Below are 15,795 nucleotides of genomic sequence, written 5' to 3'. Positions count from 1 at the left end.
CGCTGCGGTTCAGGCGTTTGGAAGTTCTTGTGTGCTGGAGATGTGGCTGGGGTTTGTCTCACAGTGGAGGCAAGGAATTGCAACATTTTTCTATTATTGTACACCTTGAAGGCGAGGTTAATTAAATTCTGTTGTGGGGTTTGAGGGCTGGAATTTAATTTTTGGAGTTCTATTTAATGTCAGGAGCAGATTGGGTAATAAAATGTATTTTAAGAATAAGACGGCCTTTTGACCTTTTAGGGACTAGGGCTGTAAAGTGTCTCAGGGTTGCTGCCGAACGAGCCATGAACTGGGCTGGGTTTTTATATTTGATGAAAAAGAGCCTAAACGCTATCTGATTTGGGATAAAGAAAAAGGAGCATTAACCTTGACTATGCCTTTAGCTCCAGCCACCTTTTTAAGAGTAAATTGCTGGGCAGGAGGGGGAGGGCTGGTCACGGAACGAAACTGTAAGCCAGACCAGGTGTGAGGAGGGGAGGTGATAAAAAGATTACAGGGTGGAGGAGCAGAGGCTGAGGAAGAATTGGGACATAGCTTGGCCTGGCGAGGAGCAGCCTGGGGAGGAGGGGAGAGGTCAGATGGGTCTGTAGAAAAGGAAGATTAGAAAGACTCAGCGACGCTTGTGGTTGGTACTAAGAGGACAGGTGGGAGGGAAAGAAGGAAGATGTGGGACGAGTTGCACGGGGCACAGAGACTAGGAAGGGAGACTGATGTGTAAAAGAATGCCTGGACGTCAGGCACCTCAGACCGTTTGCCTATTTTACGACCAGAATTATTTAGATCTTGCAGGATGGAAAAATTCAAAGTGCCATTTTCTGGCTATTTGGAACTACTGTGGAGTTTGTATTGGAATCAAGCGGCATTGCAGTAGAAAATAAGGCATTTAGGTTTTAGGTCAGGTGTGAGTTGAAGAGGTTTTAAGTTTTTGAGAACACAGGCCAAGGGAGTAGAAGGAGGAATGGAGGGTGGAAGGTTGCCCATAGTGAAGGAAGCAAGCCTAGAGAAAAGAGAGTAGAGAAATGGAGGGAAGGGGTTCGGGGGTTCTTACCTTCCAGAAAAGTGGTAAAAGGGGTTGGGGCACAGAGATAAGAGGTCGGGGCATGGAAATAAGGGATGGGGCACAGAAATAAGAGGTCGGGGCACAGAAATAAGGGATTGGGGCACAGAGATATAAGAGGTTGCGGCACAGAAATAAGGGATTGGGGCTCAGAGATATAAGAGTTTGGGGCGTGGAAATAAGGGATTGGGGCACAGAGATACGAGGTTGGGGTGTGGAAATAAGGGATTGGGGTGCAGAGATAAGAGGTTGAGGTGCAGAAATAAGGGATTGGGGGTTCTTGCCCCATAGAAAAGCAGGACTTGCCGCAAAGGGTGAAGGAGCAGGGGTTGAGGGGTACTTGCCCCTCCCCCAGAAAAGCAGAGAAGGGGTAGAGACAAGGAGAGAAGGGGTTGGGGTACTTGCCCCTTCCCCAGAAAAGTGGGACTTGCCGCTAAGGGTGAAGGACCAAGGCAGGAGTCCCTGCGTGGTCTGACACCTTGAAATGTGGGGGAATAATCAGAGAGGCATCCCTGCAATGATTAACACCAAGGGAAGGCTGCCTTCCCAGTCCGTGACTGGCACCGGAGATTTGGGTCCATGGATAAAACGTGTCTCCTTTGTCTCTACCATAAAATGAAATGAATTGAAATTAAGAGAAGGGAGAGATTGAAGTGTGGCACCAAGATTGAAAGGAGAAAGAGGTTGAGGGATAATGAGGGAGGTTGAAGAGAGTAAAAAGAGGCTGCTTACCAGATTTGAAATTGGTGAGATGTTTCTTTGGCTGGTCGGTCTGAGGACCTGAGGTTGTAGGTGGATCTTTCTCATGGAGCAAAGAACAGGAGGACAGGGGATTGATCTCCCAAGGGAGGTCCCCGGAGCCAAGTCATGGCACCAAATTTCATGCACGCCCGTGTGAAGAGACCACCAAACAGGCTTTGTGTGAACAACATGGCTATTTATTTCACCTGGGTGCAGGCGGGCTGAGTCCGAAAAGAGAGTCAGTGAAGGGAGATAAGGGTGGGGCCACTTTATAGGATTTGGGTAGGTAAAGGAAAATTACAGTCAAAGGACGTTTGTTCTCTGGCGGGCAGGAGTGGGGGTCACAAAGTGCTCAGTGGGGGTGCTTTTTGAGCCAGGATGAGCCAGGAAAAGGACTTTCACAAGGTAATGTCAGCACTTAAGGCAAGGACCGGCCATTTACACTTCTTTTGTGGTGGAATGTCATCAGTTAAGGTGGGGCAGGGCCTTTTCACTTCTTTTGTGATTCTTCAGTTACTTCAGGCCATCTGGGTGTATACCTGCAAGTCACAGGGGATGCGATGGCTTGGCTTGGGCTCAGAGGCCTGACAGTATGAAAATATCTGGCTTGGTCTATCATACTGGGCTGTAGTGAGGATCAACATGAAAATCTTGAAAGTGAAAGTGTCAAGTGCTATTGACATAAACTATAAACATTTATGTTTAGTATATACAATCTTTTTTTTATTATTATACTCTAAGTTCTGGGATTCATGTGCAGAATGTGCAGGTTTGTTATATATGTATACATGTGCCATGGTGGTTGGTGCATCCATCAACCCGTCATCTACATTAGGTATTTATCCTAATGCTATCCCTCCCCTAGCCTCCTACCCTCCAGCAGGCCCCAGTGTGTGACGTTCCTCTCCCTGTGTCCATGTTTTCTCATTGTTCAATGCCCACTTATGAGTGAGAACATGCAGTGTTTGGTTTTCTGTTCCTGTGTTAGTTTCTGAGAATGATGGTTTTCAGCTTCATCCATGTCCCTGCAAAGGACGTGAACTCATCCTTTTTTATGGCTGCATATTATTCCATGGTGTATATGTGCCACATTTTCTTTATCCAGTCTATCATTGATGGGCATTTGGGTTGGTTCCAAGTCTTTGCTATTGTGAATAGTGCTGCAATAAACATACGTGGCATGTGTCTTTATAGTAGAGTGATTTATAATCCTTTGGGTATGTACCCAGTAATGGGATTACTGGGTCAAATGGTATTCCTGGTTGTAGATCCTTGAGGAATTGCCATACTGTCTTCCACAAAGGTTGAACTAATTTACACTCCCACCAATAGTGTAAAAGCATTCCTATTTCTCCACATCCCTTCCAGCATCTGTTGTTTTCTGACTTTTTAATGATCACTATTCTAACTGGTATGGGATGGTATCTCATTGTGGTTTTGATTTGCATTTCTCTAATGACCAGTGATGATGAGCTGTTTTTCATATGTTTGTTGGCCACATAAATGGGATCTAATTAAACTAAAGAGCTTCTGCACAGCAAAAGAAACTATTATCAGAGTGAACAGGCAACCTACAGAATGGGAGAAATTTTTTCCAATCTATCCATCTGACAAAGAGCTAATATCCAGAATCTACAAGGAACTTAAATTTACAAGAAAAAACGAACAACCCCATCAAAAAGTAGGTGAAGGATATGAACAGACACTATGCAAGCAATCTTTAGCTAGACAGATAGAATTAAATCTGAATATTCCTCCATTCTGAGAGTTACATGTGCCTCTTTAGCTTTTATAGTGACCTGTTCCTATTTTATTTATTTATTCAGCAAATTTTGAATATTACCATTCTGAGTGATGAGTTCATAGTCAAGGTGTGTGTAGGGAAACAGGAGTAGTGTTTGAAAAAAGGAGGAGTATGGGTCTCACTTTCTATACCTGCCCTTCCTACTGAGCTTCTTGAGACCTAGGCAGGAGTGGCATGAAATGGCTCCACATGGGGGTGCTGGCACAGTGCTCCTGGTGGCTGGAGGGATGACATCCAGCCTCCACTCTGCTTGTTGGCCCATGTGCCCTGCTGAGAGAGGTGCTGTGTCTACTTGGAACTAATTACTCTCTTTTGCAATCTTCAAAAGTCAAAGTTTGGGTTAACCCTGTGTCTCTCTTCCTTTGGGATCCCTACTTATCTCTTCAGGCTGAAGAGGATCATTCTTAACCTTCTAAGAAACGCCAGCTTCTTCAGGTCATATGTTAAGTCGTTTTTCTCTATGTTCTAGCCATTTCTCAGACTATTATACAGGAAATTTGTCTGATCATATTTTTCTAACACCGCTACAAATTCCACCATATAAGAACTACCATAGAAATTAAACTACATCAACATGATAGAGTGTAGCACCTATAGATAATATGACATGTCATTTATACCTTTGAAGTCCCTGTCCCTAAGCTCTTGGGGTCAAAAGATAACACACATTTCCTAGACTTTCCTATCCTAATTTTTGCAGTTCTACTGCGTAATATTTGGGTTGAAATTCTCTGCCATTTCTTCATGCTTCAATATAATTAGTGTTCTGAAAGCATGCTATTGAAATAATTTGGAAAGTTTTAAATCTTGAATGGTACACAGAGAAAAGTTAAAATTTTAAATAGGAATGTCCAATTAATCTACAAAGTGAACTTTAAATATTCCCATATATTTTGTCCTCAAAAATCCTTATTTTTCATTCATGCATAATCATTACACATTCCAAGAATATAGAATTATTAAAGCATATAAATTCTAAAACTTGTGGCTTGTTCCTGGAAATAATTACATTGATTGAGGCACTGCGTATTTGAAGTAGAATGTTTTTGCGAGTTGCTGCAGGAGAAAACTCTTAGGCTTCATAAATCTAAATTGAGTGACTGAGAAAAAAAGAAAAGGTCTATAAAGCTATGAATACCTGTTCTAGTAAAGGATGCAAAAATTTCAATAAAGAAATAATTGGTAATCTTGAATTCAGTGACAGAAAATTATAAATCTGTCTCTTTTATGAAGTCTCTTGTGTGAAATATGGATGAGTTGAGGTTATAAAAAAGCATGTTTACCAGCAGGAGCCTAAATCAACATCTTTGAACATGATAGTTCAGAAAGTAGCAGGGAGCCGCTGTTCCTGACATAGGCAACACTGACATTTATTTATTTAATTTTTAACTTTCTGACTGCAGCCATCCTTTCTCCTGCCCTGTCCCTCCCTACTTTTGCTCTTGGTTAAAATAAACCATTATAGCATTAAATCTGTCTACCATAGTTAATTACTTTAGTCATGTGCCAAAGCATTTAGTTCCAGCACCTTCTCTCTATGGGTTTTGAAGACACAACTTAATATTAGGTTGCATGGTGGTTGCTGCACATCTTCAAACCATAAAGACCATGTCAAGTGCTCCAAGGAATAATGAAATATTAATTTCCAGACAAAAAATTAAGTGGCTTAAAGAAGAAGCTGTTGTCTATCCCAGGAGTGGCTTTTAAGACATTGATATCTGTGCTTTGAACACATCTATTCTTAGCCATTCAAACCACACGTAATGTTCCCTAAGTAACTGTCTGCCTTCAATCGAGTAGCACACAGATTGAAACCACCAATCCCTTCTTCTGTCAGATCACCACTATGAAAAAAGGCTCCCCTTTTCTTTTCCACACTCTTTTATTGTTTGACAACATTATGCCAAGATAAAAAAAAAACCTGTTACTGTTTTGTAAACACTGGAAGAAAAAAAATTATTCAATGCTTAAAGGAATAGCAACACGCAAATATGTTGTGCATATGAATTTGGTCATGCTGCTCCACCCTTATTTCATTAAATATTTTATTTGTGAAGAGAAAACCACAAATGCCGAAAGGAAACCTTTTCCTCATGCACCCACACACCAAATATTTATAAAGTAATTTTTGTGTGTCAGGGTTGAAATGTAAATGTTCCTATCCAAAATTAAAAAAATGATTAAGAGAAAAATGGATAGAAATAAATTGTTATAAAATTGACTCCAATAACACTAGTGCTCAATAAATATTGAGCAATGATAAAGTAGTTTCAAGAAGTACAAAAAGTAACAACTTATTCTTAGCTATATATTGTTGGCCTTGAAATTGAAAACTCCATTCAGAAGTGTGTTATAATATTTGATGATGGCATCAGCTTTTCTACTTTACTGCCAATTTTCCTGCAAAGCAGGAGCATGGTGAATGCTTAACTGACTCTTAAAGAACAATTATTTGTAAATAGTTTGTGGGGGTAGGATGCCGAGGGCTATACGGGCAAAAGCAACGAGGCAATCACAATAAGAACTGGCTTTGGGAAGAATTCTTGAAGCAGAGAAGTTGCTTGCAGAGAAAGGCAGAGTAGATCACCACCAGCAACCACTTAGAGAAGCCTCAGAGCAGCAAGATAAGAGGATGGTGGAGAAACATCATTTAATGAGTAAAGGCTTAAAGGGGTCCCTTTTCTCATCAATAATTGTATAAAATATACATGGTCCACATGGATTATACATAAATATTATGTTGAGGGACATGATGTCATAAGAAATCTCTTTTCTGTTAATGTTCCCAGAACTCTTTGATAGAATCAATACTCGTAGTCCTGATTCATTAAAAGAAATACATCTGTCTCCAATACAATGAAGTCTTGTGGAACCCAGGTTTTTAAGGCTTTTGTATTTACTATTCAAGAGCTGGATGGCCAAATAGGAAAGAAATCTTACTGATTCATGAGCTTAGCAAGCGCCTGCAGCACGCTGCATTTAATACTCAGAATTGGTATTCATAATGGAATTACTACTAGAAAGATCCATCATTTGACTTTACAGAATCGCATGTTTATAATCTTATGATAGCCCAAAAAAGCCTAGGCTATTCAAGCATTTATTATTCCTAATTAGCATCTCTTTTAGATAATTTAGTCTGCTCTTAAGTCTCTTTGTATTTTCTTGCACTAGAATATTAGGATTTGTTTGGCTTAAAAAACAGTTTAATTCATTATAAGACTTTTGAAATGACAAGTTCTATTTTCTCTGTAGCGCTTCAATTTCAATAGTCTCACTAGGAAGCAGATTGAGGAAGCAGGGCTTGAATGTTGAAATGAGTACGTCTGGAATTTTGTCTACCTGTAAGTAGGAACTACTGCCAAGAGTAGAGGGAGGAGAAGTCTCAATGATGGCTGTACTGTATCTCCAGCATTTACCCCTGGTGAGGCATTTGCCAATTTACATCTACAAATCAACTAGTGCTTCTGTTGACACCTTCTCTGAGTTGTTACTTTTAGCATCCCTTCTGTGTTATACACTGAACACAGTATGTTTTCGGTAACTAATTTAGTATTATGTATTTAGCAGCACTGAAAGATGACTTGTCTCTTGAAATAATGCATTCTAGCAAGACTTGAGACTTAAGCTAAAAATGGGATTTTTGACCCATAGTGTTAAAGGATTCAACACTTGAGAGTCATCTCTTTTCACTAACAAATAAAAAGGTATGTTGTAACAAAGGTGCCACTTCAGTGCAGGCTGTTGATGTTTGTGGACAGTGAGGCATATGGAAACTTTCTGCACTTTCTGTTCAATTTTGCTGTAAACATAAAATTGCTTTAAAAAATAAAGTCTACTTAAAAAGGGACTGAGTAAATAATTTGTACAAATAGAGACAAAATATTTATATTATTTTTAGATATTTGGTTTCATACTTCAGGTTGATTTTATATTTGTCCTGACTTACCTGTTTATGATTGTGCATTTATAACTTAGTGAATTTAAAAATCTTAAGCCAACTTTTTCTGTTGGTTGTCTGCTGAATGCAGCTTTCTCTAAAGTTGCAATCACCATGCAGAAAATTTTAAGAATATTATACATTATTTTTCAGCCTAAGCAGCTGAATCAGTGACTAGAATTGACAAGATTTTGAATTATAAATATGGCAGTATAGCTATATAGAATTCTTGCCATCGATATTTTTGCATATGAGCTGGAATATGGAAAGAAAATGAACTGAAGACTAAAGTGTATGAGAAAGGAGGATGATAGAATAAGTGAGAGATCCACCTTATTGGAAAACAACCTTAGCAGTGAAGACATAAAATTGAAAGATAAAATGCGTTATTTTTCTCTCTTACACATTCATTTATCTATTCTTGTCTTTTGTTCAGTTTATTTTGGTAATGAATACATAATCTTTTTTTGGCTATATTGTGATCTAGAATATACCAAATCTAAAGCAGAATGAGATGCAGTGTTAGAGTTTTGGAGAAGGTACATGTTGAAAGTGTATTTGATAAAATGTAAATCAAACAATTTAACTCACTCATCAGAAAAAAAAAATGAGCATGGATATACTTGGGTCACACTCACTGAAAAAAGCACACGCCTTACAAAGAGTAAGAACTTATGCAGACGGAATCTTTCTAATCTCCATCCACATGTATATTGCATGCAACCACTCAGGATTTAGAAACCAGAAAAACAGAATTTACAGTGTGAGACTTGCTGTTCAGAATGTTGAACAAAGAATTTGACACTGTTCATTGCTTCACAAACAGAATTTTCAGAATCTCAGACAGCCAAAGCCACGCTCTCTGCATGGAATGATAGGCTTGGATCTGAGAGAAAAAATTTAAAAGCATAGTCTGTTTTGATGTGATAGCATCCTACATGGCAAATTAACTTCCCCACCCCCAAAAGTTCAGTTTGTTTTCCCAAACTATAGACTTCTTTTACACCCACTTAAAATATGTAGATTTGTTTATCAGTTTTGTTTTGTAGGGTAAATGATTCAATCACTCAGACTGTCAGCAAAAGCAGTTTGAGCGATTCCTTAGTGTTAAAGGTGCTAACTTGCCTCTTGTGTAGTTGAGATTCACAGAGAAAATTAGATTCTTCCACACTAGGGCAGAGGTGTTAGTTTTAAACAACTGAAGTGCAGGGCAGTCCCTCTTTCTCTCCTTTCTGGCTCTTTTCCAAATAGGTTAATAGTAAAAGTTGGATTCAGTGAAGAAAGAACTAAATGACAGCAAATTGAGACTGCACTGAGATATTTAGCAAATCGTAGGGGCAGCTTGATACCCTTTGTATTCACAATAAAAGAAAAATGTAGCAATAACTGAAATATTCTTCAAAATGTAGCATTCTATGGCTTTGAAGCTGGCTGCCCATCACTGAAAAAGAGAACAAAGCATGAGCATGTTTATATACACACAAACTGAAATAGAAGAACTCAAAGACAGAAAACTAAACCACAGAGAAACAGAAAAAGGGATAAAGGGAGAATCAATATGTAACAGTGCAAAAGAAAAGTTTGGATCTAAATCTAAGCTGCTAAATAGCAGACCAGCAGGCTCATTGTTCACTGGAAAAAGATTGCCACTTAAGCATTTAAAGTGAAAATATACTTAAGAAAGCCCTTTCAAGCTTTGCTTATTTCCACGCTATCCCATTAAAAGGTACCATTGCATACTAATGAAAGTAAACATGAAGGAAGGGGAAATGGGGGAGCTGAAGGAGGGAGTGGGGGAGAAAGTTAGAGAGAGAGGGGGAGAGAGAGAGAGAGAGATCAATCCTGTTAGTACATTTTTTTCTTTTTTCAAAGAGAGTTTAGAATTTTGAGTTTCTGCAAAGCAGAGTTCTCAAACCACAAAAAGATTCTGCGTTTGCTGGTTTCGTTGTTGTTGTTGTTTTGTTTTTTAATTTTAGTATCAGTAGTAGCAGTCCCAGAAGAAATCTCCCAGTGACATTTTAAATAAGAATTCAGATAGGCTGTTAGAGGAAAAATGAAAGAAAAACAAAAACAAATGTAAAACGAAACCAAACTAAATATGCTAGCTTCGTCAATCAAGGTGAGTTTGTGTTTGTCTGATTAATTCCACCTTCTCTGTAACAGCCGAGTTCTCACTGCAGCTGCTATTCTCAACTGCTTGTAGCATTAACTTTTAAAACTTTAATTTTCCAGTCAGATGCCAAGCATACCTGAGATCATTTATGATGGGCATGATTAGCCATGCTTGTTAGGCATAGTAACCATGGGGTCTTTTCTGCAATGAGAAATTAAACTTTAAAAAGTCATTCTGATTTACAACTATACAAATTCTCACAACGTGGTAATAAAGAGGATACATGATGAAACCTGACAGGATGTTAAGCTTCTTGCACAAGTGTGGACAGCTGAAGAGGCAAGAAATAATACAGTTGTCACTGGGCTGTTTCACCTCAACACCGAGCAAACAAAAAGAGCGTTGTTAATCAGTTCAACTCTTCAGCTGGATAATCCTAAACCGGTAATTGATAAATGGGAAAACCATACGGACTCAACTCTGTGATTCATAAAACACATGAATATTCATACCATCTCCTTTGGTCAAGAAGCATTCTACATGCTTCTAAGGCAGGGTTTGAAAGAGGAATACAAATAGTTTCTTGCTCAGCAGTAAAATACTGCTCCCCGTTTAAGGCCAATTTTCTCCTATTAAAAGTGAAGTTTAGCAATACACAGAGGACAGTAAACACGGTAAATGTAGGTAAGTGACAAATGGTTCCTCAGGAAATGCTGCACTTCAGCTTTTTCATACAGCTGCACTTGGAAAAATATTAAATCTTTAAAGGAAACAGAATACTTACAATACCAGAGAAAGCGTGGCAGCAATCCATTTTCACCCTGGAAATACTTAATCTCTCTATTTACAAGAATAATTTATATTTCAATAAAACCTTATCATCTGAATTTCTGATATGCTGGATACAAATCATTTGGTCTGTGGATGCCAGTGTGGAAATTCTTAAAATAGTTTTTAAACATAATGTTGATGTAGAATACTCTGCAGCATATTAATAAAATCCACTTAAAATACTCAAATATTTACAGTATCTGTGATAATTAATTTTACCTTTAGAAAATGTATCTAATTTAAGGTGAAATAAATTCAATGTACCTATCAACCCAAGTTTATCCACTAAAATGTATATAACAAATTGTTAAAAATGGAATTATATCTTCAGCACATCTGTAGTTAGAGATATTGTGGGAAATCAGTTATATAAAATGAAGAATTTGTTCAGTTTAATCTCTTGTAGAAATTGATTTTCATATGTGATTTTTCCTTAAATCAGAACACCTGTTATCATCCTCATCTATGATCTAAAAATCATCCATTATTCCAGACCTCAAAGATAAAAGCAAAGGAAGAACCCACAATTAAAGAAAAGAGTGATTTATTTGGCTATATAAAAATATCATAATATTCAATATAAGAATTATTCATCAACATTATGTGAATGCTAGTTAAATGCTGATCAAACATGACTGTCCACAAGAAAGGATTGAAAAAATAAGATATGCCCATATGATGGAATTCCTGGTAGCAATTAAAAGTCATAGCTTGAAAATTACTTAATAAGTTCTAATGTAATATAATATTTATAAAATGGATTCAAAATCACTTACGCAATACGATCTTGATCTTAATTAACATTGGTTGTGACTGTTTAAATGTTTTTGAGGATTTCTTAATTCTCAGGCCATTCCCTGCAGTTTTCTTTAAATATATTAATTCTGTCTGATCACTCAAGTCCCCTTCTCTCAATTTTTGTTTAGTGAGGGTTTGGTTTTAAATTGTCTCTTCTTTCGTTATGTTAGTTTTGTCTGTCTGACTGAGTCACCTGTAAATTGAAGATAGTGAAAAGTTACATGAGTATATATATATATATATATATATATATATATATATTCTTCCTATGTTTCCAACAGTGTACTGCACATAATAGAGTTTCTCTCTTTTTTTTTTTTTTTTTTTTTTTTGAGAAGGAGTCTCGCTCTGTCGCCCAGGCTGGAGTGCAGTGGCGCCATCTCGGCTCACTGCAAGCTCCGCCTCCCGGGTTCACGCCATTCTCCTGCCTCAGCCTCCCCAGCAGCTGGGACTACAGGCGCCCACCACCAGGCCCGGCTAATTTTTGTATTTTTAGTAGAGACGGGGTTTCACTGTGTTAGCCAGGGTGGTCTCGATCTCCTGACCTTGTGATCCACCAGCCTTGGCCTCCCAAAGTGCTGGGATTACAGGTGTGAGCCACTGGGCCCGGCCAATAGAGTTTCAATATACCCTATCTGTGATTGTTGTTTACATTTCCTATTTTTTGGATCCTAATGAAATTTAAAAAGTCATTGCTCTAGGACAACCCAGGGAGAGAAAGAACCTCACCAACATGATGGGCATAATTTTCCTTTTCATTCTTCGTCAAAAGGATCCAGAATTTCAAAGCAGTTCAGTGATCCATTTTCTGTTTTACTGGTAAAGTTTTCTACAAATACTCTTTCATATAGAAAGTGGAAGTAATTTTTCCTACCAGATAACACAAGCTTTTTCATAAAATATAAATAAATCTGAGAAAGTAAAATTTCCCTATAATTCCTACCCTTGGCAGCAATAAATAGTAGTTGGTGTGTGATTACTAGACTGTACTTCATTGTATTTAAAGCTCCCCTCAACATTTTATTATAAAAATGTTCTCTTTCTTTCTTTCTTTCTTTTTTCTAAGACAGTGTCTCCATCTGTCACCCAGGGGCTAGAGTGCAGTGGTGTGATCATGGCTTACCATAGCCTGGACCTCCTGGGCTCAGGTGATCTTCTTACCTCAGGCTTGGAGTAGCTGGGACCATAGGTACATGCCGCCATGCCTGACTAATTTTTCATTTTTCTTTTTTTAACGTTTTTTAGAGACAGGTTCTTGCTATGTTGCCTAGGTTAGTCTCAAACTCCTGGGATACCCACTTTGGCCTCCCAAAGTGCTGAGATTTTAAGTATGAACCGCTGCATTTGGCAAAAATTTTCAAATATGTAGAAAAGTTGAAAGTATTATACAATAAACACTCATATGCCCACTACTGATATTCTAACTTAAATTTTCCAATTTTGTATCTTAAGCTTTCTAAATGTAAAAAAAAAAAAAGCATGCTTGTTATTTTTTAATCTTTAAAGTACCTTTATTTCACAAACATGAAGACTATGTGATGAAAATGAATCCTTCCACAGGAAGAAAAGTATCATTTATACTTTTCCTGATTCTCTGAGGACTTCAGATATGGAGTGAAATAAAAGCTTGGCGTGAGAGAGAATGAAGTCTTGACAGAAAGTGAAATCCCTGTCCTGTCTGTTTACAGCAACCCAAACCAAAATCAAGCAAACGGCAATGCTTTTTATGTGTTCTTAAATAAAATAGACATTTGTTGATTAATTTACTGTCTAGTTTTGTTTCCATAAATGTCGCCAAAACCTTCTGTTATCCTCTAGGTGCAGCCCTGAAAGGGTGGCTTGTAAGTGCTGCAAACATTACATCCAGTTCTATCACAATCAGGTACAGAAAGCAGTTACGATGTTCTACAATTGCTTATTTATGACTTTGCTGCCGCAGATTTGTCTACAAGTTGCATAACAAATCTCCAAATTAAATCCAGGACAAACATTCTAGAACTCTAGAGTGAAGACTTAATAGCTTTGAATTTAACCAATGAGAGATAGTTAAATAGAGTAGGCAGAGAAATGGCAAATAATAAAAAGTTCTTTGATTGTGAGTTTAGCACAGCATAGCACTTTAAAACCAAAATGGTCACTAAACCTCAGACTTCTTATCTGCAAAATAGTGATAACAAAATTTCCATCAAAAGCGTATTTTCACCTTGAAATAAAATAAAACATTTAAAGCCTCCATTATAGTGACTGGCATGTAATAAATAATCAATAAATATTAGTACTGTCTTCCTAGTACCATTCTCTTCATTTTTCAGAAAGGGTTAAAATGACAATTTGCTGTATTTATATTGCATTTCTACAAAATAAATAACTACATGGATTGTATATACATATATAAATATGTTTAAATTATTTAACCTAAATATATAGGTATATTTTCTGATCATAAATATTATAAGAGCTCTAAACTATGTTGAGAATCAGTCTATATGTGAGGATGCAATGTCAAAAATCATCCTTACACTTTGGAGAGAGAGAGGGAGGGAAATTCACATGCAAACATATTATCCTTTCATTCAGCAAGGAAAGTGATTCAAATTCTATCTATCAAGGCACTGGATATGACAGGTTTATGAACAAGGTAAGATGTCAAAGATGCGAGAATTTACTATGTACCATGGAGGTTGTACTCTACCTTTTGGAGTTATCAGGACCTGCTGAATTTAGGAGATTATATATGTATGTGTGTGTGTACATATATATGTGTGTGTGTGTGTGTGTGTGTGTATTACAAAGTCCTACTCGTGAATATAAGCTTTAGTCCTATTTTACAATATGATCCAAATACAGTCTTTCAGTGAATGGCATAAATTTTTTTAAAAAATAATTTACCCTTTACAATCACTCTGAATGATTGTTTTAAAGTAATGGCAATACAATATTTAAGAGGCACTTTTAAACATTTCCTGGTTTTAATCCTTTAATTTTTTTTTTAGCTTGAACTTTTCTTATTCTTTCTGATTTAATGGATGAAGAGTGAACATGACCCCCTAAAGTTTCAGAAAATTACAAGTACTCTTCCAGCAAAGCTTATGAACCCATTGAGAATATGCTTAACTTAGCGATGAGGATTTAAATAGGTGTGGTAAAAGATTTAGGTACATAACTGGGAGAAAGCTTTAATATTGAACTTTCAGACATTTATTTACTAAAATTATAACAGACATTATTAACTGACATTTAATGTGAATAGCTCTGGGCGGATCCAGAGCCAGCCCTATTTTTGTCTGTCAACACCTGGCTGACTAGTTTAATGGACACCTTTGTAAATTATTTTAACTGGTATTAACAATAACAATTCTTAAGCCCCTTCAAACAGTATCCTACAGATTGACTTCTAATGGATTAACTGAATTCAGGAGATGAGAGCTGCCAAAGCTTTACCATTTCTTTACATTTCAGTATTGGCTTAATGCTAAGATATCAATGTTTACTTTAAAACTAAATCCAATCTTTGAAAAATGTTTACACTTCATGTGCCAATAACTTTGTCTAGCACTGTAGCACAGGTAATTATAACTAATGGAAATCGGCACTAATCGACTCACTCAATAATATAGCTCAGTGACAATAACAGTACATGGAACACACGGTTTTTCAATTCATTATTAAAAACATCTGATACATCTGTGAGAACTGGAGAGTTTCCTTCCCCCCCTCGCTAGTGTTCTAAGTACTGGGAACAGTTACAACTACAACATTTTAAGAGGCTAATTTTTTTTTTCTTCACACATGCACACAAAACCATGAAAGAAGCTTTTACAGGAAGTAACAAATACTTCTAAATGACATTTCATTAAAAATGTGTTCCCTTGGAAAGCGGACAGAACTAAAAGCCATGCTTTTACTTGGCAGAAAAGGTGGTACAGCAGGCAATGTGTGAAGCTAAGAAGCATCAAAATCTACTTTGCCATGGATGTGAGCAGCATTCTGACCTAGAAAATAAAAAGGCAAAGGAATTTTCATGTGCTTTGATTTCTTCTAAACTAAAATTTCAGTGGAATTTCCATTTTGAAGCAAAGACCAAACAGAAAATGCAGACAATTGTATATAAACTATGGTTAGAACAAAACTGCCAGATACATTCTTGCTTTCATTTTTCTGAAATCCCACATTATAACAATAAAACATGTTATTTTTGTTGTTTTTTAAAAAAGTAATTGGGGTGTACATTTACACTGAATATGTCAATAGGCTCTGGATAGATTAATGATATTATGCCAGCTTTTTATTTGTATGTTCTTTTCTTTTTTTTTTTTTTTTGTCAAATGAGGTATTGTTAAAGATCCAGAACATATGAACTGTTTCTGATTAATAGAAAAATAATTTAAAAATAGTAGAAGTTGTAAACACAGTGGCTAAAGTAATATTCTAGGTCATTCTTGCTTAGGACATCTGCTTTTTGCTATTCTTACCCCAAGGGCAGATGATTAATCTCAATTGTTTCCTCCTAT

The 15,795-nt window shown here is 37.0% G+C and overlaps 2 annotated features.

Moving 5' to 3' along the window:
- Positions 1,420 to 2,323: an enhancer, noted in NCBI's record as "OCT4-NANOG-H3K27ac-H3K4me1 hESC enhancer chr1:81711033-81711936 (GRCh37/hg19 assembly coordinates)". NCBI's record gives its function as "activates a minimal SCP1, AML or CMV promoter by ChIP-STARR-seq in naive and primed H9 embryonic stem cells {active_cell/tissue: H9 hESC(naive and primed)}" and the evidence as "EXISTENCE:reporter gene assay evidence [ECO:0000049][PMID:30033119]".
- Positions 2,324 to 3,229: an enhancer, noted in NCBI's record as "OCT4-NANOG-H3K27ac hESC enhancer chr1:81710127-81711032 (GRCh37/hg19 assembly coordinates)". NCBI's record gives its function as "activates a minimal SCP1, AML or CMV promoter by ChIP-STARR-seq in naive and primed H9 embryonic stem cells {active_cell/tissue: H9 hESC(naive and primed)}" and the evidence as "EXISTENCE:reporter gene assay evidence [ECO:0000049][PMID:30033119]".

The sequence above is a fragment of the Homo sapiens genome, chromosome 1 (genome assembly GCF_000001405.40).
Source record: "Homo sapiens chromosome 1, GRCh38.p14 Primary Assembly".
Taxonomy (NCBI): Eukaryota; Metazoa; Chordata; class Mammalia; order Primates; family Hominidae; genus Homo; species Homo sapiens.
Note: the sequence above shows the minus strand (reverse complement) of the source record. Positions and strands in the feature narration are given on the sequence as shown.